Source organism: Homo sapiens, chromosome 7 (assembly GCF_000001405.40).
Source record: "Homo sapiens chromosome 7, GRCh38.p14 Primary Assembly".
NCBI classification, from domain to species: Eukaryota; Metazoa; Chordata; class Mammalia; order Primates; family Hominidae; genus Homo; species Homo sapiens.
Genome location: NC_000007.14, coordinates 151,254,603 through 151,281,518, shown reverse-complemented (window position 1 = coordinate 151,281,518; position 26,916 = coordinate 151,254,603). Strand labels below are relative to the sequence as shown.

At 53.5% G+C, this 26,916-nt stretch overlaps 1 protein-coding gene across 3 annotated transcripts in view, besides 4 other annotated features; it reads left to right on the top strand.

Annotated features, from left to right (window-relative positions):
* Positions 3,187 to 3,896: an enhancer, noted in NCBI's record as "H3K4me1 hESC enhancer chr7:150974709-150975418 (GRCh37/hg19 assembly coordinates)". NCBI's record gives its function as "activates a minimal SCP1, AML or CMV promoter by ChIP-STARR-seq in naive and primed H9 embryonic stem cells {active_cell/tissue: H9 hESC(naive and primed)}" and the evidence as "EXISTENCE:reporter gene assay evidence [ECO:0000049][PMID:30033119]".
* SMARCD3 (SWI/SNF related BAF chromatin remodeling complex subunit D3) overlaps positions 4,370 to 26,916 on the top strand; it is a 38,370-nt gene continuing 15,823 nt past the window's right edge. The window contains exons 1-2 of one of the 3 annotated variants that reach the window (NM_003078.4): positions 4,370 to 4,442; positions 6,268 to 6,405. In NM_003078.4, the coding sequence (NP_003069.2) occupies positions 6,367 to 6,405 (39 nt within the window). In that variant the 5' untranslated portion in view covers positions 4,370 to 4,442; positions 6,268 to 6,366. Of the gene's footprint in view, positions 4,443 to 4,784; positions 4,815 to 6,267; positions 6,406 to 26,916 lie in introns of those variants that run through there. The other 2 variants (NM_001003802.2, XM_047420758.1) reach the window with 2 other exon arrangements.
* Positions 6,050 to 6,849: an enhancer, noted in NCBI's record as "H3K4me1 hESC enhancer chr7:150971756-150972555 (GRCh37/hg19 assembly coordinates)". NCBI's record gives its function as "activates a minimal SCP1, AML or CMV promoter by ChIP-STARR-seq in naive H9 embryonic stem cells {active_cell/tissue: H9 hESC(naive)}" and the evidence as "EXISTENCE:reporter gene assay evidence [ECO:0000049][PMID:30033119]".
* Positions 24,384 to 24,884: an enhancer, noted in NCBI's record as "H3K4me1 hESC enhancer chr7:150953721-150954221 (GRCh37/hg19 assembly coordinates)". NCBI's record gives its function as "activates a minimal SCP1, AML or CMV promoter by ChIP-STARR-seq in naive and primed H9 embryonic stem cells {active_cell/tissue: H9 hESC(naive and primed)}" and the evidence as "EXISTENCE:reporter gene assay evidence [ECO:0000049][PMID:30033119]".
* Positions 24,885 to 25,385: an enhancer, noted in NCBI's record as "H3K4me1 hESC enhancer chr7:150953220-150953720 (GRCh37/hg19 assembly coordinates)". NCBI's record gives its function as "activates a minimal SCP1, AML or CMV promoter by ChIP-STARR-seq in primed H9 embryonic stem cells {active_cell/tissue: H9 hESC(primed)}" and the evidence as "EXISTENCE:reporter gene assay evidence [ECO:0000049][PMID:30033119]".

Sequence of the window (26,916 nt, the reverse complement as noted above, 5' to 3'; positions counted from 1 at the left end):
AACATACAATTTACCATCTTCACTGTTCTAAGTGTACAGATCAGTGGCACTGAAGAAATTCGCAGTGCTGTGCAGCCACCACTGCCATCTACCCACAGAATGCTCCTCATCCTGTGAAACTGAAGCTCGGTGTCCTCATTGCACTGTTACCCCCCCTCCCCCAGCCCCTGGCATGTCCCATTCTACCATCTCTCCTCTGGCATTTGGCCTGGCCTCTGTGACGGCACTAGCCCCTTCTAGCTGGTGTTGCCAGTTGTTTAGAAGTCTTAATTCCCCCGTAGGTCAAGTGGCATCTCATTCATCCTCACCCCTATTACCGAGGCACATGTTGATAATAGAGGTTTGAGAGGAAAAATGCAAAATGAATGAGAGAATGAGCAGAGAGAGGGTCACGTGTGGGTTCATGGTTAAAGGCACATAGCTGTGCGTCTGATTTTATGTAGCAGGTGCTCAGAATATATTGAAAGTCTAAATGATGATACGAGTGGTTTTTGTAAATGTTTAGTTATTTTTTGAATAGGTGAAATATTTGAAATTCAAAAATGTACAAAAGAATACACAGTGGAAAGTCAGTCTTCCCCCAACCCAGTCCTCCAGCCTCACTGGAGGCAACCACTCTGGCCAGTTTCTTCTGCATTTTTCTGGAGGAGTGTACACACACCACATGTGCACACACTCACACGTGTGCATGCACATGTTCACACAGCACATGCTCGCACACTCACATGTGGAAGCATGCTTTATGTACTGTTTGCACATCTTGCTTTTTCTCATTTGACAGATCTTTGGGATCCTTCTAAGATCAGTATATGGACAGTTTCCCCATTGTCTGATAGCATTCATTGAATGATAAATTTATCCTGTCACCATTTACAGCTGTCACAGGATTTATGTCATCTGTCACCTGTTGATGACCATGCAGGCCATTTCTGAATTCTTACTATACAAGCCGTGCTGCAGTGAGCAGCCTCGGACGCTCACGAATGACTGAATGACTGAATGCCTGAACGTGACCCCTAACCCTATAGCCCAGTCTAACCCCTGCCTGGTCTCCCTGGTCCCCAAAGCACCCCACCCTCCCAGGACTCCCACCTGCACCCACCACGGCTTGTGATCTTCCTCTTACTCCGTGCCAGGCACTGTGCTAGGCCCTAGAGTGTTCAGGCTGATGGGCCCCAGTCCTGTCCTCACAGAGGCACAGCTCAGAGGGAGAGATAAATGAGGAAAGAGATATTTAGAAATCAGGTTTGAGTGCTGGGATAGACCTGCCGCCCTAAATTTATGTCCCTCCCCTGACACCTGGGGAGGCACAGACTTATCCTTGATAACCTTATCCCCAGTCCAGGCTCTCAGGGCCAAGGAGGAGAAAGGGAGGCTATGGGGTGTGGGGCCAGGGTCAGAGGGGACCGAATGCCCATCTGGCTGCTCTGCCCTGCACCACCCGGGCCAGGCCTGTCTGTCTGATGTTGTCTGTGCCCATCGACTCCCCACTGTGTCTTGGCTGCCTGCTCTCCCTCTGGGCCCGCTCTGCCAATCCCTATGACAGGACCCTGCCACCTCACTGCCCTCCTCACTTTTGAAACTAACTACCTGTCTCATTGGAAGGGCTTTTCCACCCTTATTCTGTGAAGTTAATAGCTGGTGACAGTGGGAGGGGAAGGCAGCATTAAGGCCATTCAGATGGTGGGGAGAGGGCAGACACTGCCTATACACAGGTTATCCTCGGCCCAAGGGAGTGAAGCCAGCGCTGACCTCCGGGCACCAGGGTCTGGGTCCCAGGAAGCCTTTCAAGCTGCACCAAAACCCACCATTCAGAAGCTCTCAGCCTCTCCCAGTTCACTGGACAATGCTCTCCCCACTCAAAATACCCACCCCACCTCTCCCTTCCCTGCCACACCTGCTGTCCAAGCACTGCCTCCAGGTTTGTTTCCTGGGGTTATAAGACACTGCACCTCCAAAAACCCCTCGTTCAAAGGGAAATGTCCCCAGGAAGGACAGCAGGGACTCCTCCTTACCATGGACTCAGGCCCCTTCATGAAAACGGGTAGAAGAATCAGTTTTGATGAAGGGCATTAAGTAAGCAAATGTGGTTAAAATGTCCATAGCGGGTCCTTTGAGTAGCCAGAGGTGTAAGAGTGCCTGGGGTAAGGGTCCTGAAGGTAGGAACACAGGCGCGGGGGAAGGGGCGTGGGAAGGCTGAGAACGTCTTCCTTGGGCCAAGCCAGGGTCAGTTTCCCTCCTGTTTGATGTCAGCGTGTTTTAAAAGGGGAGTAAAAGCACAAATCGCAACAGCCAGATGATGGAAGCATCCCAAGTGTCCCACAGTAAATGAATGGATAAACAACGGTGCAGTGGCTCCAGCCTGTAAACCCAGCACTTCGGGAGGCCGAGCTGGGTGGATCGCCTGAGCTCAAGAGTTCGAGACCAGACTTGGCAACATGGCGAAAGCCCATCACTACAAAAAATACAAAAACTAGCCTGGTGTGGTGGTGTGCACCTGTAGTCCCACTACTTAGGAGGCTGAGGCTAGAGGATTGCTTTAGCCCAGGAGTCCAAGGCTGCAGTGAGCCTAGATCGTGCCACTGCACTCCAGCATGGGCGACAGAGTAAGATCCCATCTCTAATACAATAACAACAACAGGGGTGTATACACACAGTGGAATACATTTCGGCCTTAAAAAGGAAGAAAATCCTGACTCGTGTTACAACGTGGATGAACCTTGAAGACATTGTGTGAAGTGAAATAAGCCAGCCACAAAGGCATTATATGAGGTACATGGAGTAGTCAAATTTATGGACAGAAAGTAGAATGTGGTTGCCAGGGGACAGGAAGGGGGAAGGGGGAGTTGTTGTTAGATGGATACAGAGCTCCAGTTTGGGATGATGGAAAGAGTTCTGGAGACTGGTTGCACAACAATGTGAAATACTTTACAAAACCTAACATACGCTGCAAAATGGCTAAGATGGTAAATTTTACATTATGTTTATTTTATCACAATTAAAAATTTAAAACATGCCGGGTGTGGTGGTTCACACCTGTAATCCCAGCACTTTGGGAGGTCGAGGCGGGCAGATCACCTGAGGTCAGGAGTTCGAGACCAGCCTAGCCAACATGGTGAAACCCCGTCTCTACTAAAAATACAAAAATTAGCCAGGCATGGTGGCAGGTGCCCGTAATCCCAGCTACTTGGGAGGCTGAGGCAAGAGAATCTCTTGAACCCAGGAGGCAGAGGTTGCAGTGAGCCGAGATCGCGCCATCGCATTCCAGCCTGGGGGACGAGAGCAAGACTTCATCTCAAAAAAAAAAAATTAAAAGAATAAAACAGAAATATTTTCAGATGAAGGGAGGATAGGAAGATACCAGAAAGGGAAGGGGTGGAAAAGCTCTGTCTCTGCCTTGGGCCTGCCCATAACAGAGACAAACCCAGGCAGTGCAGAGCCCAGACCCCAAAATACCCCTAGTGTTGAAGGTGTGACCTGGCCTGGGGGAGAGGCTGGATATCGGCAGGGGCAGAGACGGGAACCTGAGGGAGAAGGACCTGACCTTGACCTCAGCCTCAGACCATGGGTCCCTGCTGCCTGCCTGCCTCCTACTGGGGGCCTACGAGGCCCACCTGGCCCCAAATGCTTGGCAGGCTCCCTGCCCGCTGGCTGCTTAGGGAGGTGCTCCCACTTCCCCCGCCGTTGCCTGAGCTCTCTAGGGCTCCTTCACTCTGCAGGTAGGCTGGGGTCCCCCTCTGTGCTGGGCACTGTGGTAGCTCAGCCGTGTGAGGCGGGGCCCTGGAAGAGCCCATGAGATGGCCAGAGCTGGGCTTGTCTGGCTGGAAGCTGGGAATAGGCTTCTCCAAGCTGCCAAATTTAAGTATTGAGTACATAAAAGGAGGAGATTGGCATTAGTGAGAACATGGCCCTGAGGCTTGATGGACCCAAAGCCTCCCAGGGTATGTGCGTTTTGAGGGGGTGGGGGGTGCACATGGGTGTCCGGGACCTCGTCTAGGTAATGTCTGCAGCCACATAGGATGATCTGACTGAATCTGTGTGAGGACAACCGTTTGTGTGCCTGTGTGTGCGCGCCCACGTGCATGCGCGTGTGTGGTCCTAGTGTAGGTGATGTCTGCGGCCACACAGGATGCTGACTGCGTGTGTGACTCGTGGGCGTGCAGATGCAAGCACAGGCCTACGACACATCTGTGTACAGGCTGAAGATCACAACGGGTCTGGCCAGGGCCCGCCGAGGGCCTCCGAGCTGGCGAGCACACCGACGGCTGGATGGGGCGACGCTTCCTGCTCCGGTCCCTAACTCATTATTAAGCTCCTCGCTCTTTGCAGACGCTCCCTGCGCCTCCCCCGCTCCGGGCTGCAGCGGCGCAGGCGCCGGGCCGAGCCGAGCGCCGAGCAGGGAGCGGGCGGCCGCGCTCCGGGCCGGGGTCCCGGGGGAGCAGGTGAGCGACCCGCGCCGCGCGGCCCCCACGGCCCTTGGCGAAGGCGCCTCCCGGCCGCGCTGCGCCGGCGCCCCCGCCTTCCCTGCCTGGCAGTCTCTGCTCGCCTCTGTTGGCATCCTCCTCCTCCTCCTCCCCCCTGCCTGGCATCCCCCTCCTCCCCCTGCCTGGCATCCCTTCTCCTCCCTGCCTGGCATCCCTTCTCCCCCTGCCTGGCTTCCCCCTCCTCCCCCTGCCTGGCTTCCCTTCTCCCACTGCCAGGCATCCCCCCTCCTTCTCCTGCCTGGCACCTTCTCCTCACCTGGCACTTCCCCTCCTCCCTACCTGGCATCCCCTTCTCCCTTCCTGGCATCTTCCTCCCCTCCTCCTTTCCAGGTATCTCCCCCCACTCCTGACTCTTTCCGTCCCCCCGCCTGGCACCTCCCTCCACCCCCACCCCAACCTCGTACCTCTTCCTCCTACCCCTTCCTTGCACCTCTTCCCTGACTGGCAGACTCCCATTCAGCCCCTCTGTGACACCACCTCCTCCCCATCGCTGCCTGGCATCTTCCCCTCCTTCCCTCTCCAGTACCTTCCTATCCTCCCTCCACCTGCATCTCCCCTCCTTCCCTCGTCTGGCACCCTCCTGCCTGGCACCTTCCCCTCCTCCCCCTGTCTGGCACCACCTCCTCCCATTGCCTGTCACCTCCCCCCTGCCGAGCACTTTCTCAACCTGCTCCTGCCTGGCATGCTCTGCTTCCTACTCCCCCTGTCTGGCACCTTCCCTCCTTCCCCTGCCTGGCATCCTCTCCCTCCTTCCCCTACCTAGCACCTTCCCATCATTCCCCTGCCTGGCACCTTCTCTGTCTCCACTTGGCCACCGTCTTCCCTGGATACCCCTCTCCTATTCAGGTTGTCCCTCTGTCCCCCACCTTCTTGCAGGGCACCTCCCCCCCGACCCTGGACTGGTAGCCCCTCCCCTACCGCATCTTCCTCTCCTCATCCTCCCCTCCCACTCTGTCTCCCGGACCCCACCAGCTCTCCCATCCCCAGCACTCCCTGTCTCCAGCCTCCTCCTTCCTCATCCCCTTTCCTCCCAACCCTGCTCAGGATTGATCCATGGGCAGCAGCCTCTTTTGCTCACATGGCTTAACCAGACCCTGAGCCACTCCCAAGCCCCACCTCTGTCACCCACACCCCGCTCCTACAGCACTGCTCTCTTCTTAGCTCCCATGCCCCACCGTCTGCTCAGGGACTTCATTTCATAAGTTGGGTCCTGACCCAACGAGCTGGAGGCCTTCCTGCTCTTCCAGCAAGGAAGGAAGCAGGGCAGGACAGGACAGAGCAGGCACTAGCAGGGACCAGGAGGGAGGCGCCTAGGCCAGCTGGTAGTCATGGAGCAGGCTGACTACCTGCCTGCCACCTCTGGAGTCCCTCCATGCCCCTGGGCTCCAGGGCCATCCCAGTTACCATCCTGACCTGCCCTCTGGCCTTTGCCTCCAATGCCCAGCTCTCTCCCTCCAACCATTGCCACACCCCCAAAACTGGCCTCTCCAGTCAGGGCTTGGGCTCTGCCTGGGGTCCCTGCTCTGTCTTTCAAGTTCTTTGTCCCGCAGGACCCTGGGGCCGGTCTCTGTCTGCTTCCCACACATACTGCTCCCACCTGCGCCCTGCCTTGTGCCACCCCAGCCCCAGCTGGCCCATGCTGGTTGCCTCCATCCTAGGCCCTTTTTTCTGCACAGTGTCCTGGCTTCCTCAGACCTCCACTCCGGGGAGTTTGGCTTCTTCGCAGCTTCCCGAGGCCTCCTTGAATCTACGCTGGGGCTCAGGGTCTGACCTCTCCTTTCAGATCCTCAGAATGGCCCTTGGTGCTGCAGGCGCGGTGGGCTCCGGGCCCAGGCACCGAGGGGGCACTGGATGACTCTCCAGGTGCAGGACCCTGCCATCTATGACTCCAGGTCTTCAGCACCCACCCACCGTGGTACAGGTAGGTGCTTCCTCCCCTGCCAGCCCAGGAGCAGAAGCTCTGGGGCCCCATGGCGAGTCGGCCAGCCCTCGGCTCCTGCTCCCACCACATGGCCCCCTCCCGGCATTTCTGCCCCCAGCTGGACTCCTTAGTGCCCATGGCAGGGCCTCTCTGTCCCTCTCCCCACCCCTGCTGACACCTGTCATTAATGTCCTTCCCTCCATCCCACACTCCCTTTCCTGCGTGTCCTCTCACCTCCTGGTGTCCTTAGGTCCTGCCTCTCAAAGCCTTTCTGAGCCAGGGACAAGCTACCTGAAACCAAGTTTTGGGTTCATGTGAGCATGGTCTGGGCTCTGGCATGCTCTACTTCCTCCCCACCTAGACAGCCAGACAACACCCCATCTCCTCTCACTGCGTACATGAAGAAGCGTGCACATACGTGCACATGCTCACATGCACACACACCACATGCTCTCTGCGAGCTGGAAGGAACCTGCTGATTCCTTGGCACAACTTGTGCTCAGAAACCTCTAAAAACCCTCAGGGCCCCAGGCAGGGTTCCGCTTGTGGCAGGAGGGAGGTGGCAGCCGTCTACTGCACAGCCCGCAGTGGGAGCCAACCCTGCCCTGCCCCAGGCGGACCTCTAGCTCTGATGCACTCTGGGCCATTGCTTGCTTGTAGGGCCTTCCTAAGCCTCCTCCTCAAGGAGTGAGAGGAAGATGGTCTGCATTTGTCCGCATCAGTCCCCACTTGTCCAGAAGGACACACTGAGGCTCTGGGCAGAAAAGCCACCTGCCCCAGAGCCCCAGCTGGCATGGTAAGGGGTCGGAACTGAAGTCTGGTCTGAGCTCTGCCTGCCCAGCCCCACCCATCATCACGCTGGCTGGCCTCACCGGTGGGAGGCACCTGGCAACAGGGTGGGTACTGGCAGGGCCTCAAGGTATGTGGAGCCCAGTCCCTGTCCTCAGGGCCTGCGGCCTTGGAGAGCAGCCTTGACAATTGGGCACAAAGGGCCACAGACCACACAGGCCTCAGAGCACTGAGGAGGGAGACATCAGGAAAGTCCTGGAAAGGTGCAATTGGAAATGGCCCAGAGGAGCCTGAGGCTCGGGGAGGCCTGGGGCTGTGGGCAGAATGAAAGTGCTTTCTCTGCTTCTCCTTCCTCAGAAGTGGGCAGAGGAACTCATCCTCCTGCCAGGCTGCTCTGAAGGCCAGGGACAGCCCCGTTCCCCTTCAAACTGCCCCAGTGCCCCTCCTCCTCCAGTGAGGTGCAGGCCCAGGGCAAAATGGGGCAGGGCACCGGCTTTTGGGGAAGCTGGCCTGGCCCAGAGGATCCAAGCCACACAGGGCAGCAGCAGGCACCAGTCACCTGGTACCCATCACCAAGGAAACACACCTGGTGGCGGCATGCCCAGCCCCACACCTGAAGCCCCAGTCCACCTGCAGGAAAGTCAAGGCCTCCAAGCAAACGTCCCACCCTTATCCCCAACACCTCCCCAGCACCTGAGGTGAACTGGGGACTGGTTGCTCAGTTTGTGGTGGTTGGTGTTTTAGCTGAAATTCATAAAGAAAAGGTGAGAACTAGTATATTAAACCAAGCACTCTACAGTTCTGGGGTGTCTGAGGTTAGAGGCCAGGTTGAACGGGGGGCAGGCTGATGGGAGGCAGCTAAGCTTCCTGGAGGGGTGCACCTGAAGTGGTCCCCCACGTGGAGAGTCCTCCTAATATTTGACATGCCCTTCGTTAGGCCCTAAGGGGCTCCCCAGCAGCAGTCGGAGGGAGCCTTGGGCTGTTCCAGACCTTTCCTGAAGGGTCACTGCAGGATGGGCACAGGGGAAGGAGGGCAGAGGAGGCCTGTGAAGATTGGAGCTGGAGCCCTGGGGCAGTAGGTCCATCCTAGTGACACCTGGCCCCAGAGTGACCCTGGCCATGAGTCAGAAGCCCCAGCTCCAAGAGTGACAAGGTGGTGGAAGTTTGGCATCTTATCTTGGAGTTGCATTCACATGCAATCGGCGGTGTGCGTTGCAGGCTCTTGGCAGCCAGGCAGGCACTTGGGCATTTGGATGCTGACAGGCCCTGGTGCTGGTGCCTAGGCGTCCGTCCTCACCCCAAAACTGGCGGTGTGACTGCAAGTGAGTGCTCATGATTAGTGAAAATTAAGTGGTGGAGATAATGAGCTAGAGGTGTCACTGGGAGGAGGCTGAGCCACCCATCGGGGATGAGTGGACTTCCCTCAGCTGTGGCTGGACTCCTAACCATCTGGAATTGCTGTACCAGAGGGGCCAAGCTGAGGCCACCGCCTGCCTCTGACGGGTACTTGGCTGAGGGACATCTTGTAGGGACCATTGCTGTGTCCCCCTGTGCTCCTTGCTAATGAGGGGTGTGGGAATCCTTGGTGACTCATAAAGGACCGTAGAGGAGGGCTGATCACTTCAGCCAGGCCCACATTTTGGGATAGCGCGTTCGGTTTCTTGACTTTCCAAGCTGTGACACCGATTCTTGGCACTCTACACTTACTTCCAGGGATTTGAGAACGTGCCTCATGAGCGTGCGCCCCACACAGGCCTCCTACTGCAACTTACAAACTTGGACCATCTCCCATGTGAACCTTTTTCCCAGACTGAAGATCGTTCTGGGAAAATGCCCTAGAGTGAGGGACACTGTGCCATAAGGGAGGGAGAGGAAGACACAGGGAGGTGTTCTTATGCTCCGCCTCATCCTGAAAAGGGTTTCAGGTAGTTTGCAAAGATACATATAGTGAGGAAACTGAGACAGAGATAGAGTAGAGAAAACATGGTGTTGCCTAGGATGTGGCTACTGCACCAAATGCAAACCACGAGGCCCAGAGACCCCGATGCCAGCAGAGAAGCAAGCAGTTACATGATTTACACTGTGCATGAGATAAAAATCAAACAACTTGCTCAAATCACGTGATTTCTGGTCCCGAGCCACTGGGAGGTCTCTCCTGTATGAGGAAATGAAGGGGATACCATGTGACAAAGTTATGCAATGTTCTCAACAATGTCACAACTGCTTCCTAGGGCTAAGGCAAGGACCAACACAATACTCCCCAGCCATAAACCTACTGGTAATATTGCTTAACCCAAACTTAAAATTTGGAGCAACTAGAGGAATGCATTGCTACCTTCAGGAAATACCCTCTTTCTCTTTTGTAAGAGACAGAGTCTCACGCTGTTGCTCAGGCTGGAGTGCAGTGGTGTGATCATGGCTCACTGCAGCCTCCAACTCCTGGGCTCAGGCGATCCTGCTTTAGCCTCCTGAGTAACTGGGACTACAAGCGTAAGCCACAATGCCCCCTAGCTTTTGTTTGTTTTGTTTTTATTTTAGTAGAGATGAGGTCTCACTATATTTCCTAGGCTGGTCTCAAATTCCTGGGCTCAAGCAATCCTCCCACTTCAGCCTCCCAAAGTGTTGGGAGGCATGAGCCATCGAGCCTGGCCAGGAAATACTCTCTATATTGATATTTACAACAATGTTTCTGATAAATATCAGGCAGCAGGAAGGTTTATTTAAAATTGGAAATTAAGTACAGAGTCACATTCTCCAGGTAGGGGTAATATCCTTATAGGAAATAAAGAGCTCCTTAAGCACACAGGCCCCACAGGTGAGTTTGGGTATGAGGAGGGACCAGTCCTGGTCTTTCCCCACAGGTCCTGAACCCATGGAAAAACAGGCACAGGCATCAGTTAACTTAAGTGCAAGGAAATTCAAGCTGAAGAGAGGCTTGAACCTGAGGCCCAAGTGTAGAAGGCAGGTCCTACTCCCTAACCTGGGTTTGCTTACCTGGGCATGGGAACAGAAGGAGATGATCTGTGTCCTAAAACAGACTCGTCTAGAAGAGGAATGCTGGCCACAGGGTAAGCAGCCTTGCCTTCAGCACCTTCACCCCACCCGCCTGGGAAAGGGATTGTGCGGCTGGTGCAGGCCCTCACCACCTCATCAGACAAAGCCTCCTCCCACAGGGAGGAAGGGTGGGGAGAGGGCCAGGGTCATTCCAGTATCTCCTCTCCTGGGAATACAGTACATGTTTCCTTGTGAACACATGAAGACAAGGGAGTAGGGCCCCTCTGCAGTGGGGTGGATGGGCCACATTGCTAAACAGTGATATTGAGGCTCAGGTCCAGACCTGAAGTGACCAAGTCCACCCCCTTTCTTACCTCTCCATTGGAACAACTGCCACATCCTTTTATTTGATTTTATTTCCTAGATAAGTGTCAATTCCATCTGCTTCTGATTTCCCACGTCACTGCCCTGGTCCACACACTGTGATCTTCTGCCCCCATCTGAGTGCCGCATACTCAGCCTTGTCCCTGCATCAGACCCCGGCCCAGCACAGTAACGAGAATGGGCTTCCTAAACACAAATCTGATTTGTTCCGCCTTCCACTTCCTAGTGGCTTCATTCTCGTGCCCTCACTCAGGGCCCTCACACATGCTGTTCCCTGCACCTCCGACACCCTTCCCAGCTCCCTTCACCTGGCTAACTGCACTCATCCTTGAAGCCTCCACGTCAGTTCCACCTCTTCCAGGGAGGCTTTCTCCCACCCGGCTTGGGCGTGAAGGCCCACCCACTCTCTTCTGTCTTGCAGCACCTACCAAAGAGGCTAATACTGAGTTGCAGGGCTCCTTAAAGGCATGGCTGCATCTGTCTTGTTCCACACAGTACAGAGAAGTATTTCTTGAATGAATGAGCAAATGTGTGAGGCAGTGGACAGAGAGGGGGTGGCTCTACGGCTGATTCTAAAATGAGCCCCAGATCCCTCTTGGTGCTGTCAGCCTCACCCTCTCTACACCACCACGATGCAAGAGTGGGCCTTTCTTGCCTGCCAACCTTGTCCTGCTGTCGCCTGAGCTGCCCTGTGCCCCGCGTCTCCCTCCTGTAACTCCGTGGTTGGAGGAGTGCTCCATGCTCATTCCCTCTTCAGTTATTCCTATGGTGAGGGAGAATGTCACTCCCTCTGACCTTGGGTTTGCCTTTTGGAGTTGCAGGGAGAAACCCCTTTCTCCCTCCAAGCCATCTGACCACCTTTCAACATTTGGAGGCAGCTTTCGCACAGGCTCTGTCTCCGCTCGGAACATCCAGCTCTGGCTCTTTCAAATATTCCCAGCCTTCGTGCCCCCTGGGGAGCGCTGAAGATCCCCCAAGGCCATGGCCCACACTTGGAGCCACCTGTGCCTGTGCTAGAAGGTGAGCTCTCCCTTTCCAGCCAGGCAGATGGGGAAGGGGTACTCAGTTTTCTGAGTGACATGTCTCATCTGTAGAATGGGACATCATGCCCTTCTATAAAGAAGCAATGGTGATGGCGGACCTTCTGCACAATGCCTGCGTTCACCGAGCGCCCCTCGCCACTGCAAGTGTTCACATGGGATGCTGAGCGCTGTCCCTGCTCCAGGTGTCATCTGTGGACCCCAGAGCACCATCTAATGCCACCGATGCCTCCCTTGGTTGCAGGTCCCAGCCTGCCATTCATGCTGCCCGCATACGCCACTGGCCACCACCCAGACACGCAGAAGTCCATTCTTCCTGTTCCATATCTGTCAGCCCCAACATGGAGCTATCTTAGCTTTAGCCCATCTTTCCAGCCCACAGCTCCCATCCAGCCTGATGCAGTCTGCAGGTGTGAAAGGCCTGTCTTCTTTGCCTTTCATAAAGTTTTTAATTGGAAAAAAGAAAAAGTGAGCCAGCAGGGCGCAGGAGAGAGCCCTGTGGTCCCTGGAGATGGCTCAGGGTGGGCCGGCAGCTGAATCCACAGCAGGGGACTCGAGGGTGTGTAGGCTTGAAGGAGGTGCTGGTGGGTCGGAAGGTGTCCCCCGTGGGGGCCTAAGTAGATGCAAGAGAAGCTGAGCTCCAGCTTCAGGTCTACAGCACCCACTCCACTCTGCCCAGCAGGAAGCAGCACTGTGCTTTTGCCTTTTCCTGCCTCAGTTTCCCTTCTAACTCCCCCTTCACCATCACCTCACTTGCATCTTACCCAGGCCTCTTCCTTCAAAAGAAAAGTCTGTCTTTGAGACACTTTAGATCCATTCAGTGGGCAGGGATGTCTCCCCCTGCCACCTGCCATCACAGCCCCCACCTCAGATTCAAGAACAGCTGCCACAAACACAGTGACCTGCAGGAAGTGAAAGAGTGAAGTGACTGGGGGCAGAGTAATAGCAGCCAGTAAAGACTGAGGGATCATTGTGGGCTTTGAGAACTATTTCAAGAATTTTAGGCCAGTCGCAGTGGTTCATGCCTGTAATCTCGGCACTTTGGGAGGCCAAGGCAGGAAGATCGCCTGAAGCCAGGAGTTCAAGACCAGCCTGGGCAACAAAGCGAGACCTCATCTCTACATTAAAAAAAAAAGAGAGAGAATTTTGTGTGGTTTAATTTATCCTAACCACAACACTATAAGGTAAGTGCTGTTATAATCATCATCCTCTCCAGATAAGGAAACTGAGGCACAGGGCATGAAGGAACTTTCCCAGTGGTCAGGGCAAGAGTCCCAACTGGGGTCTCTCCACCATATTTAGCCCTCAGAAATTTGCTGTGCCCAAACCTCAGGGGCCCTCACAGAGACAAGACAGCCACCCCTTTATTCAGGGTCTCAACCCAGCCCCTCCTCTTTTGCCCCCAGCACTGAGGCTCAAGGTCAAAGGCCATTTATCATCTCACACACAGCCTGTTCCACTCATTGACTTTCACTGCTGTGTCCCTAGGGTCATTTGAGTTTGTAACCCCTAAAATAGGGAATGGGGAGGAGATGTGGCAAATCGGAGGGCTCTCGCCCCTCTGAAAAGGGGCAGCCCCTCCTCAGCTCCACCCGATTGTCTCTAAATGGACTGGTGGTCTGGTCTTGCCAAATTTCTCATTTTTTAAGAGATTCTGGAAATCTGGCTTTGATGTGAAATCTCTCAGTCTTTAAGGTTGGTGCCTAATTAAAGTGTTTAGGACACAGTGAGGGCTGAGCAAAACCTATCTGCCCTGCCCAGTTCGTAACACTCACCTTGAGCTTTCCTTGCCTGCCACTTGTCCCCTGTCCTCCCTTCTATCCCCCAGCCCAGAAAACAAACCAGCATTTCTCCCTGAGAACTCAGGGCCCCCAGTTTGAGAAACACTGCATTAAGAATTGCTGTCACTTTATTTGTTTATTTATTTATGAGACAGGATCTCAGCTCTGTCGCCTAGGCTGGAGTACAGTGGTGCGATCATGGCTCACTGCAGCCTCAACATCCTGGGCTCAGGCAGTTCTCCCACCTCAGTGCCCCAAGTAGCTGGAACTACAGGTGTGCACCACCATACCCGGCTAATATATTTAAATTTTCGTAGAGAGGAGTCTTGCTATCTTGCCCAGGCTGGTCTCAAACTCTTGAGCTCAAGCAATCCGCCCACCTCAGCTTCCCAGAGTGCTGGAATTACAGGCTTGGGCCACTGCACCTGGCCTGCTGTCACTTCAGTTGGCTTCTTGTCAACAATGAAATTATAAACAAAATGCAGAGTCTTTTCAAAAACTTGAGGACCCTCCCCCTAGAACAGATCTGAATCCCAGTTTGAGAAGCAGTGCTCATAAATCCTCATGATGGCTGCTAATGGGAAGGGCAGGGGCTGTTGTAGAATCCCTCTCAACTTGTCTGTGTCTTAAACCCGGAGTACCAACCCCTGAGGACTTCGCAGTACATTCGATAACGAATGGGGGAGCAGTCAGATAGTGACTCAGAAAGAACACGGACCTTATGATCAGAAAACAGGAGTTTGAGCCTCACTTTCAACATTAACTCGCTCTCCAGCTCTGAATCAGTCTTTAAAGAACTCTCTACGCCTTGTGTTCCTGTCTTTAAAATGGATACAGTAATAGTCATCCCTTCAGTTTCCTGGAGTGTGGAGAGAACCAAATTGGATAATGCATGTTGAACTGTTTTGTAGGCTAAGCTCCATGAAGCTCTATGTGTTAATTTGGAGGTGTTTGACAAAGTGTTTCCCTATATCTTTAGGGTATGATACATAAACGTGGGCTGGATGCAGTGGTGTGCGGGTAAATGTTTAACAACTGGCTCTTGGCAGGACGGGGAGTGGGAGCAGAACTCCGGTTTGTATCGTTCGCCAATTCCTGTGGTATAAATACCACCAGCTGGGTGCAGTGGCTGGGCCTGTAATCCCAGCGCTTTGGGAGGCCACTGCGGGAGGCTCGCTTCACGCCAAAAGTTCAAGACCAGCCTGGGCAACAAAGCAACACCCCATTTCTACAAAAAATTTTAACAGTTAGCCAGACATGGTGGCATGCACCTATAGTCTCAGCTACTCAGGAGGCTGAGGCAGGAAGATGGCTTGAGCCCAGGAGGTCCATGCTGTAATAAGCCATGATCACACCACTGTACTCCAGCCTAGGCGATAGCCAGACCCTATCTCAAAAAACAAACAAACAAAAAAAACCTCCCATATTGGCTGATGTTAAGCCGCTGACATGACACACTAGCACATTGCCGGCTGGATGTTACGATAATTGGGCAAATTTGCTAAGAATTGAAGAAAGACGAAGCCCCAAAGGGTGTACATTAGTCTGGAGAGAGAGAGCCTTGTCTTGCTTCCTGTCCCTTTCTCAATACATTCAGCAAAGATATAGATGCAGATCGATGGTCACACTCACTGGATTTGTAAATAACACACAGCCAGAAAAGATGGTGAATATTTTGGATAACAGAATTAATATTCAAAAGCTGTCAACATTCACCTTCTAGAAATTATGGGCTAATTCTTAGAAGATGAATATTAACAGGAGTAAATGTTCTGTGTCCATTCTTGAGACAAAAAGACAACTTTACAAGTAGGGGATAGGGAGACATGTTTTGCGTAGAGTAGAAAAAAAAAAATGGCCGGGTGCGGTGGCTCACGCCTGCAATCCCAGCACTTTGGGAGGCTGAGGTGGGTGGATCATTTGAGGTCAGGAATTTGAGACCAGCCTGGCCAACATGGTGAAACACTGTCTCTACTAAAAATATAAAAATTAGCTGGGCCTGGTGGCACGTGCCTGTAATCCCAGCTACTCAGGAGGCGGAGGCATGAGAATCGCTTGAAACCAGGAGGTGGAGATTGCCGTGAGCCGAGATCACGCCACTGCACTCCAGCCTGGGCAACAGAGTGAGACTCCGTATCAAAGAAAGAAAGAAAAGAAAAGAAAAAATTGAGGTTAAATTGACAATAAGGTCAATTCAACTCCACAGTGCAACGGGTGATTACCAAAGAGTGATAAATTAATGGCCATGATGACTTTACTCAGTACTCTGTGACTTAAAGAGAATTTTCACATATGGCAAATCATTACTATTTTGCTATTCACAATAACCCAGTGAGAGAGGTAAGATGATAAATACCCACTGATGAGGAGACCGAGATCAGAGAGGTTAACGGTGACTTGGCACTTTTATCCTCCTGTCAATGGATGATGGAATAAAGGCTCAAACTCAGGCCTTCTGACCTGGGTTCTGCCCTGTGCTTTGCACCCTGCTTGGAGGCCTTGCTTTCATCGGGCAAACCAGAGGATGTTCCAAGGGGAGGCCCAGGTGGTAGGTGGACTAGCAGGCAGGTCTCGTGATGACCGCCCTGGGAGTCCTGAAGAGCAGAGCTGTGGGGGTGTTGGGTCACTAGGGCCACCCCAACAAAGGACCGCAGACCTGGCAGCTTAAACAACAGAGATTCCTGGTCCCAGTGTCGGAGGCTGGAAGTCTGAAATCAAGGTGTCAGCGGGGTTGGTTCCTTCTGAAGGCTGTGAGGGAGGGATCTGTCTCAGGCCTCTCTCCTTGGCTAGAAGTTGAGCATCCTCTCCCTCTGTCTCTTTACATCATCATCTCTCTGTGCAAGTCTCTGTGCCCAAATTTCCCTTTCTTGTAAGGACACCAGTCCTATTGGATGAGGGCCCACCCTAATGACCTCATTTTAAATTGATTACCTGTTTGAGGACCCTCTCTCCAAATAAGGTCACATTCTGATATATTAGGGGTTAGGACTCCAACATATGAATTTTGGGGGACACAGTTCAACCCATAGCAGGGGGACTCTGACAGGTGCCTTCAGAATTTGGAGATGTGTCTAACAGAGGAGCGAGATGGTCAGAGCCTCAGGGAGCTGACAGGCATTCAAAACCCTGGGCTATCCCCATCACAGGAAGAGCCAACGCCCTGAGGGACAGGTCGACTCCCTGCCACTGTCCAGTCCTTGGGCCCCTGGGCTGCTAGAACACTAATTCCCCACCTGGCTCCATGAAGAGCCACAGGGCAGCCTCCAGCCTCCCCTTCTGGCAGTTACCCTGGGCAGTTAGTATGCCAGCTTCCCAGCTAGTCCCGGGCCTGGCCCCACGGTCTGCTCCCCCTCCACCGCCACCACCACTGCTTCTGCCCCATGCTGGCTGCCAACACTGCCTCCAGCAGAGGCTTGGGCCCAGCTCCACTGGGCTCCCCAGAACTCCATGGATCCCACCATTTACCTCCTCACCTCTGCATCAGGGAGAAGGAGGTGGCCTGCTGAGGAGTTAGGTCTTCAGGGGGTGATTGCCTCCGTCCTCCAGAGGAACTCCCACAGTTCCTACCCCAGGTGCTGACCTGGCCTGGTATGGTGGCTTCTTGTGTGAGACCATCTTCACAGCACTCACCCTGGGCTTCGGGATGGCCTACAATCATGCTCTCCTCTTCCCACACCCTGTGCCAAAAGCCACTGCCATCCTGGGGCACTTTCCAAGGCAGGAGCTGACATTAGCTCCTCTCTGTTTTGGGGCAAAATCCTGACTTTGACCGGGTGCAGTGGCTCACACCTGTAATCCCAGCACCTTGGGAGGCTGAGGCAGGCAGATCACTTGATGTCAGGAGTTTGAGACCAGCCTGGCCAACATGGCAAAACCCTGTCTCTACTAAAAATATAAAAATTAGCCAGGTGTGGTGGCAGGCACCTGTAGTCCCAGCTACTTGGGAGGCTGAGGCAGGAGAATCGCTTGAACCCGGGAGGCAGAGGTTGCAGTGAGCCAAGGTCACGCCACTGCACTCCAGCCTGGGTGACAGAGTGAGACTATGTCTCAAAAAAAAAAAAAAAAAATCCTGTCTTCAGGAACCTGACCTTCAGACCCAGTGGCTGATCATTGCAGGTCAAGAGAATGGCAGGTGCAGAGGTCCTGAGGTGGGCAGGGACCCAATGAGTTTGAGGACCAGATAGGGACTGGTGGAGCTGAAGGCACCCACAAGGTGGAGTCACCCCTGTGAGCCCTGGCAAGGAATTTGGATTCTGTCAGAGCTGTGAAACCATTGTCAGATCTTAAGCAAGGATGTACTATGGTCCTCATTGCATTTTTTAAAAGATCACTCTGGCCATGCCGTAGAGAGAGACAGAATGGAGAAATGGGACGATCAGTGCAGAAGAAAGATGGTGCCGGCCTGGTCCAGGGTGATGACAGAAAAAAATGCAGAGACCAGTGGGCCTGAGAGATCAGAAAATGGTGAAACCAATAAAATTTGCCTATGGATTAAATAGGAGGGCCAAGGGAGAAGAAGATGTTCATAATAACAACCATGGAACAGCATGGAAAATGGCCAGACCCTGGAGCTGGGCTGAGGGAATTGGATGGCTTGAAAGATATGGCGATGTAGATGGGCAGGATTGAGGTTTGGAGGGATAAGAGGGACATTCTCCAAGGTGGAACCTGGGGAGGGCAAAGACAGGGCTTTGAGGCTGGTGAGGAGGCCCCCTTGGTGAAAGTGGTAGGGCCTTGGTGGACACATGGACATCCTGCCTCTCTCTCCCCAACCTCCCCAGCTGCCTTCCAGGTTTGAAGTTGTGGTTACAGCTTCGGCCTTGATTTAGATCCCTCAGAACACCCCTTGGCATTTTTTTAATTAAAAAAAAAACATTTAGCAGGAGTGTCTGGCACATTCCACTTCTTCCCATCAAGTCTGCCCACAGTCTCTGGGCTAGGATCTAGTCTAGACACAGGCTACCTGGATGAAAATCCCAGCTCTACCCCTACTAGCTCTGCAACCTTACACCAGTCACTTTGCTTCCTTAGGCCTCAGTTTCCCCACTTATAAGGTGGGTTAAGGATTTTACTCGCAAGGTAGGGTGACTGTGAACATTAATTGAGCTCAGAACAAACAGTGGCTGCTCCCAGTAAGAGTTGTGTGTGCTGGCTTCCCTGTTACTAGTTTTAGCCTGCTGGGCTCTGCAGGGCACCTGTCCTGCCCTTTCCACTATTCATGACTCTCGCCAAGATAAAGCATGAGTCTTGGGTGCCTCTCCCCTGACCTTCACAGAGGAGCCCAAGGAGGCACAGCCCCTGAGACCCACAGCACCCCATGCCAGCCTTGGGCATCCCACCCAGTTGGGGCTTTCCCTGGCTGTGCTCAGGGTCTTGCTTAGGTGTCGCTACTCTGAGACACCTGTTGGGGTAGCCCTGCCCCACCCTGTTAGGGGCCCCTCCTCCCTGCTCCCGCGGGGCCCTAAGGACACACCTGGCACAAAGCCCTCTATCCATCTTGTCTTTCTCGATGACCACCAGGTCTCAAGGGCAAAGGCCATGTCATGGGTGTAAATGGGCAGTACTTCCCAGGAGCTGCCCCAAAAGAGGTGCTCACTAAACGTGTAGAGGACAGAAGGCAGAGGAGCACATGGGGTGGGAGGAGGCCCTACTTTTCTTTGGATGCCGTTACCAGCAGTTCCCAAACCTCAGCTTTTCTAGGCCAATAACTGGCCTTACAAAGTCTTTTTAAATTTAAGTCCCAAAGCTGGGCATGGTGGCTCACGCCTGTAATCCCAACACTCTGAGTGGCCAAGGTGAGAGGATTCCTTGAGCCCAGGAGTTGGTGATCAGCCTGAGCAATGTAGCAAGACCTTGTCTCTACAAAAAAATTTAAAAATTGGCCGGGCATGGTGGCATGTGCCTGTAGTCCCAGCTACTCAGGAGGGTGAGGTGGGAAGATAGCTTGAGCCCAGGAGGTCCAGTGAGCTGTGATCACACCACTGCACTACAGTCTAGACGACAGAGCAAAACCCTGTCTCAAAAAAAAAAAAAGGTTGAAGTGCAGTGGATGTGCTACATGTGGTGGCTTCTGAATGTCTCCCTCCTGTCCTGCAGCCCAAGCTGCAGCCCCCACAGCTCAGTTGCGGGGCCACAGGCTTCCCACAGCATGACCCCTGCATGCTAACAACACTTGTGGCTGCTCTCTGCCCAAGGAAGCGTCCAGTGGCTTGAGTAGACCCCACACTTCCCGCAGGGCTCCCAGAGCCACCGTAATTAGCCACTGTGAATGATCACCTGGCTGGCTTCTAAGAGCAGCAGCTCGGCCCTCGCTTGTACCCGTCATGCCATTTGTGATGAGCCTGCCGCTGAAGGGCTCTGAGAGCTCCCTGGTTCCACTGCGCCCCACCCTAGCTGGGGGTTGTTTGGCAGCAGGATCATCCAAGTCCGGGAGATAAGGCAGATGAGCAGCAGCCAAGGCCACAGGGAATCCAGGCTGTGAGACAGGCAGGCAGGACCACTGGGAAGCTGATGTTAACAGCTGCTGCTCGTTAAGTGTTGACCCTGTGCCAGGCACTGTGCTGAATTCTGCACATGCTCAACCACATTTTAATCTTCACATCCACCCATGCATCACGTGAGGGACCCCCAGTTTTGCAGATGGGGAAATTGAGGCTCAGACAGGTCAGGTAACATGATCAGGGTTATGGTCACTCAGTGGCTGGGTGGGGTTTGAACCCAGAACCAATTGACTCAAGGGCTGTGGTTCTCAACCCTGGGGCAATTTCACCCTCCAGGGACAAGGGTCAATGTCTAGAGATACTTTGTTTGCCACACTGGGTAGAGGATAGAGGCCAAGGATGCTCCTGACATCATACAGTGTGCAAGGCAGCTCCCACAGTAAAGAATCGTCCAGCCTGAGATGTCAGCAGTGCCAACTGGAGAAACCCTGTTCTAGAATCCAGGCTAGGAGCCATCACACCGTGGACTGCAGAGACCCTGCCCAGGGCAGTGGGTTCAGGCAGGGGTAGAGAGCACAGCCAGCCTTAGTTACAAGGATTTGCCGAGAGCGCGCCCCAACATCTGCCGCCTCCCCACCGCCCACCCCTTGGTGAGTCTTCATGAGGCTTCTTGGTGCCACTGTAGCCATTTGAGCCCCAGAGTAAAGTCTGCTGAGTTACTAGTGTGCTGTGTGGGGACGGCAAGATGCTGAGCTTACTGTGAAGTCCTTGGTCATGAACAAGCCTCACAAGCCCCATCTCTTTCTCAATCCCACTTACGTTTGCCTGGTTCTCCAAGAAATTGGTGGTCCACTCAGCCTAGACAGAGCCTGTTGCTGTTCTCATCGCTTCTCCTACCCCTCTTAAGGGCCAGTTGGATCCTCCAAGTTCTCCAAACCTAGCACCAAGTGGCACCAGGAAGGCAAGGTGAGGTGGTAGGGGGCTGTCCGAGGGCACCGCTTGGCTATGTCGGGGTAACGACATGTTCCCAAAGGATAGCCGACTGAGGTCCAGGTAGGGGGCGGGGTGGCGTGTCACCATGGGATTCAGGTGTGTACGTCGCACAGGAGTTACACTTGGTTGTGAGGACCACAGAAGCCAGAGGAGCAAGGGGCTTGTTCCAAGTTTAACTAGCATTCATTTTTTTTTCTTGTTTTTGGCTAAAAAGTAATATTTCCACAGTAACAAAGGGAACCTTCTCAAATTTGAAATTTATTTCAGACACCTTGGTAGTAGCACATTTTCTAGAATTTGTATTCCCAATGTTTCGAACAATCAGCTTGAGATTTTGAGGGGTGTGTTTAAAACGATAATTAAGGGTAATTCAGCTTAGCTCTGCAGGCTTCCAGGGATCTTGATTTCCTTCTTTAAAAGGCAGGTGTTTGGGGAAGGTGGGGTGCGTGTGTTGGTTAGTCTGTCACTACCCCCAGCAGGCAAGCTTTAGCACGGGGACACTGGGGAGGCAGCTTGGGGTAAAGGAGAAAACCCAGGGACCTTGAGGACAGGAAACCTGATTTGCAATCCTAGCCCCACCCTGTGATAGCACAGTGAATTTTGGCAAGTCACACAACTTCTTAGAGCCTCATTTTCATTATCTTTATAATGGGGACCCTGCCAGGAACCTGATAGGCTTATCTGTTGGGATCAGACAGGTTACTGTGTGTGGAAGTGCTTGGTCAATGGTAAAGTCCTATACAAATCTAAGCCGATGTTATTACTCCTATGATAACAAGTCTTGGCCAGGCGTGGTGGCTCACGCCTGTAATCCCAGCACTTTGGGAGGCCAAGGTGGGTGGATCATGTGAGGTCAGGAGTTCAAAACCAGCCTGGCCAACATGGTGAAACCCCGTCTCTACTAAAAACACAAAAATTAGCTGGGCATGGTGGTGCATGCCTGTAATCCCAGCTACTTGGGAGGCTGAGGCAGGAGGATCGCTTGAATCCAGGAGGCAGAGGTTGCAGTGAGCCAAGATCATGCCATTGCACTCCAGCCTGGGTGACAAGAGTGAAAGTCCGTCTCAAAAAAAAAAAAAAAAAAAAAAAAACTCTCAGGTTGTAACCTCAGCTGGCATTTGGAAATCCGTGCTGAAGATCCTGAACGGGCTTGGAGTGGGCTCTCTTCACCTCCACCCATCACATGTTGGAGGTTCTGCCATGTGCCAGGTACTTGGGATTTAGCAGTGAAGAAAACAGATAAAAAGCCCTGCCTCCTTTAGAAACACACACACACACACATACACACACACACACACAGCCCCTACCTTTTTGGAGCTTACATTCTTTTTTTTTTTTTTTGAGACAGAGTCTCTCTCTGTCACCTAGGCTGGAGTGCAGTGGTGTGATCTCAGCTCACCGCAACCTCTGCCTCCCAGGTTCAAGCAATTCTCCTGCCTCAGCCTCCCGAGTAGCTGGGACTACAGGTGCCCGCCACCACGCCCAGCTAATTTTTGTATTTTTAGTAGAGACGGGGTTTCACCATGTTGGCCAGGCTGGTCTCGAACTCCTGACCTCAGGTGATCTACCCACCTTAGCTTCCCAAAGTGTTGGGATTACAAGTGTGAGCCACTGCACCCGGCCTGGAGCTTACGTTCTAATGGAGAAAAAGAAAAGTTAGGCATCAATGTAAGGGAGTAGATGATATAGAAGGGTGGAAGGGTAGGGTCCTGTAGGGAAAGTGGAGGGGAATAAAAGAAATGGGCGTGTGGAGGGAGAGGGCTTGCAGTTTTTAATCAGGGAGACAGACTGTGCCTCATTGAGAAGGAGACATGTGAACAAAGGCTTTTGGGAGGTGAGGAGTCCGCCATGTAGATTGCCAGAGGAAGAGCATCCTGGGCTGGCACGGACCTGGAGTTTCCAAAGCACCACAGGGAGCCCAGAAGCCAGGGCAGAGAGAAGGTGGCGGGGGAGATAGCAAGAGGTGAGAGCAGAGGGGACAGGGAGTAAGGATGAGACCAGATCCTGCAGGACCTTCAGGACCTTGGCCCTTGCTCGGAATAAGATGGAAGGCCTGGAGGGTTTAGAGCAGAGCAATGCCATAATCTGACTCCCTTTTTCTTTTTCTTTTTCTTTTTTTTTTTTTTTTTAGGCAGAGTCTCACTCTGTTGCCCAGGCTGGAGTGCAGTGGCGAAATCTTGGCTCACTGCAACCTCTGCCTCCTGGATTCAAGCGATTCTCCTGCCTCAGCCTCCCAAGTAGCTGGGATTACAGTTGCATGCCACCACACCCGGCTAATTTTTGTATTTTTAGTAGAGACGGGGTTTCACCATGTTGGCCAGGCTGCTCTCGAACTCCTGACCTCAAATGATCCACCTGCCTCTGGCCCCTCAAAGTGCTGGGATTCCAAGTGTGAGCCACTGCGCCCGGCCCTGACTCCCTTTTTAAAGAACCTGTTGCCATGTTGAGAACAGACTGTTGGGGTGAGGCTGGAAGCAGGCTACCCAGTAGCTGTGGTTTGGATCTCGGGCGGCATCCGGGGAGAGGTGAGAAGCAGTGGGCTGCTGGGTCCAGAGCCAATAGGATGTGCCTTCAGAGTGGATGTAGGGTGTGAGGGAAAGGCAGGGGTCCAGGGTGTTCCAAGGTGTGGGCCTGGGCAGCTGGAAGGAGGGAGAAGACTGGGCGGAGGATGGGGTTTGAGGCAAAAGAGCAGGAGCTCATTTTGGACCGACCATGTTTGAGCTGTCCACTGAAGACCCAGGTGGAAATGCCAAATAGGTGATTGGATAGATGCGTCCAAGGACTGGGAGAGAGGACCGGGCTGGAGGAAACTGGGAGCTGCCGACATACGGGTGGTGCTGGATGTGATGAGACCGCAAAAATGATGAGATCTCCGAGGAAGTGAGCGTGGAGAGGTGAGGAGGACCCAGGCCTGAGTCCTGGCGCTCCTGCATGGAGAGGGAAGGAGAACTGGATGGTCCCCGGGGACTCAGAAGGAGCAACCCGGGAGGCAAGAGGTCAGCCAAGAGGGGAAAGTGTCCTCCCTCCACGGGAGGAAATAATTGAAAGAGGACAGAGTGTTATGACTTTGCCGGGTGCAGTGGCTCACACCTGTAATCCCAGCACTTTGGGAGGCCAAGGCAGGCGGATCACAAGGTCAGGAGTTCGAGACCAGCCTGGCCAATATGGTGAAACCCCATCTCTACTAAAAATACAAAAATTAGCTGGGTGTGGTGGCGGGTGCCTGTAGTCCCAGCTACTCAGGAGGCTGAGGCAGGAGAATCGCTTGAACCCAGGAGGCGGAGTTTGCAGTAGATTAAGAACTGACGGCAGCATTTGCCAATGTGGAGGCTACCGGTGGCCCTGCCAGGAGCATTTCAGTGGAGCAGCGGGAGCTGCATCTGACAGGATTGGGATTCAGGGAGAATGGAGGAGCACAAATGAGACAACTCTTTTCAGAAGTTTTGTTGCTACTGGGCAGCAACCTGTAGGATAAGTAGGGTTAAGAGAGATTGTTTCAGGAGGCCGGGTGCAGGGGCTCACGCCTAAAATGCCAGCAGTTTGGGAGGCTGAGGCGGGAGGATCACTTGAGCCCGGGAGTTTGAGACCAGCCCAAGCAACATAGTGAGATTTTGCCTCTATTTTTTAAAAAGTAATAAAAAATGAAAGAAGAGCGCTTATTCCAATGGGGATGTAACAGTACTTGTGCATGCTGCTGGGGGAACTCCAGGGAAGAGGGGAATGTTGATGAAATGATGGTGTGGGAGAGAATTGCTGGAGCAGTGTCCTTGGTGTGGAGGAGGGACGGAGCTGGCACACGGAGGCACGGCTGGCTGTAGTCGGGAACACAGATAGCTCATCTGGAGGAACGGGATCAGCTGCTGGCAGGCAGAGGGTGTGGTGGGAGGCTCTGGAAGTTCTTCGGAAGCTTCTTTTTTCTCAGTGAAGGGGAAAACGGGCACAAGCTGGGAGTGAGGAGGATGGAGGAGAGGTTGGAAGTCAGAGGAGGGAGAAGCTGCAAAAAACTCCTGTCGGGGTGTGGGAGCGGGCATATTTGTGACTGTGCTGTGAGAAGAGTGGCCTGCCGGGCAGCACGATGCCAGCTGAGCTCGTGCCGAATCCACAATGAGACCGGGTGGGGTGGCTGTGTGTCTTTCTCTGGCCACATTCAGGTGCGTGGTTGCAGGGGAGGAGCTGGTGAAGCTGGATTTACCTCTTAAGAGAGTCAAGAGTGTACACAAGGGGTCAGGTGCAGTGGCTTATGCCTGTAATCCCAGCACTTCAGGAGGCCAAGGTGGGTAGATCACTTGAGGTCAGGAGTTCGAGACCAGCCTGGCCAACATGGTGAAACCCTGTCTCTACTAAAAATACAAAAAGTAGCTAGGCATGGTGGTGTGCACCTGTGGTCCCAGCTATTCAGGAGGCCGAGGCACAAGAATTGCTTGAGCCCAGGAGGCAGAGGTTGCAGTGAGCTGAGATCGCGCCACCTGGGCAACAGGGCGACACTCTGTTTCAAAAATAAAAAAAAAAAAAGCCAGGCGCAGTGGCTCATGCCTGTAATCCCAGCACTTCAGGAGGCCGAGGCAGGCAGATTGTCTGAGGTCAGGAAGTTTGAGACCAGCCTGGGCAACACGGTGAAACCCCGTCTCTACTAAAATACAAAAAATTAGCTGGGTATGGTGGCAGGCACCTGTAGTCCCAGCTACTTGGGAGGCTGAGGCAGGAGAATTGCTTGAACCTGGGAGGCGGAGGTTGCAGTGAGCCGAGATCGCGCCACTGCACTCCAGCCTGAGTGACAGAGCAAGACTCTGTCTCAAAAAAAAAAAAAAGTACATGCAAGGGAGGTTAAAATGGTCAATTGTGTTATGTGTCACCGTCAAAACAACCAGGAGATTCAATGTGTAAGAGCAAGGGGTAGCTGTGGGGAGGGGTGCAGAGTGGTGAAATGAAGCAGAGGTTCCAGAGGAGTCGCAGGATTTGGAGGTCAGGGAGCTGGACAGGGTGAACTGGAAAGAGGAAAAAGAGGAGACGGTGGTCAGCGAGTAGGGTGCATGGGACTGAAAGTGGGGGGCTGCGGTTGCTGCAGTGATCTAAGAGATGACCTTGGGAGTGCATGGCTGAGGGAACAGGGAGGATCGCTGGAAGAGGAGCTGCCAAGGAATGGAGAGGCCAGAGATGTCTGGAAGAGCATGCAGCAGGCTGGACAGGAGTGGTGCTCCGGAGAGTGACATGAGCCAGGAGCCAGAATCCGCACAAAGGAAGCCTCCCTAGCTGGGGGTAAGATGCAGAGCCAGGGCTCTGGAAACAGCAGTGAGGGGCAATGGGGGGCCATACCCACCCTTAGGCCAGTGGTCGAGCCACTGCTGGAAGGGAGCCTGGCATCTGCTTCTGGAAGGCAAAGAGGATGCTTCCAGAAGAGGTGGAGCATGTTGGAAATGTTCCTTAGGACAGACAACACAGTAGGAGGGTTTCAGGGGCTGGGGAGAGATGGCAACTGTAGGAGGGTCTAGGGCCTTGTGGGGCTCAAAGTGCAGGAGTTGAGGGGGTCTGGGGCTTTCTGTGGTGACTGATGCAATTGGGGATAAAGGGCAGCATGAGATTGAACCTGGTGCCCTCAAGGCCGAGGGCAGGTCGAGGGCTCCCCTGGCCCCGTGGTGCAGAGTGGAAGGTGCAGTGTCAGACCTGCAAGGACAGCCGGGCGACGAGTCCGCGCAGCACTTCCACGGGGGTTTTATTTACACATCCCACTGCCCGCTGCCATTTGATTTAATATTCCCAAAAATTTGTTTAGAAATGCAGATGGACTTTTTGTTAACTATTCACTTCTCTTCACTCCGGTGACACCCAGACCCCAGAATGCAGTGATTGGCAGGAATCCCCCTAAACACCTGTTCAGAGCAGTAGCTGAGGCCCGTTCCTGCCTCACAAGTCCTCAGAAGCTTCCCGAGGTGAGGGGCAGGACGCTGGGCCACTAGGATTGCCCTGACACTGTCATGGGGAGCTATTAGCTGCAAAAGACAGAGAGGAGAATTGGAGGTACCAGAATGGGGCTCCCCTCACTAAGAAAGAGGAGGGCTGGGGCCTGGGGAACACAGGACACACGTGGAGACA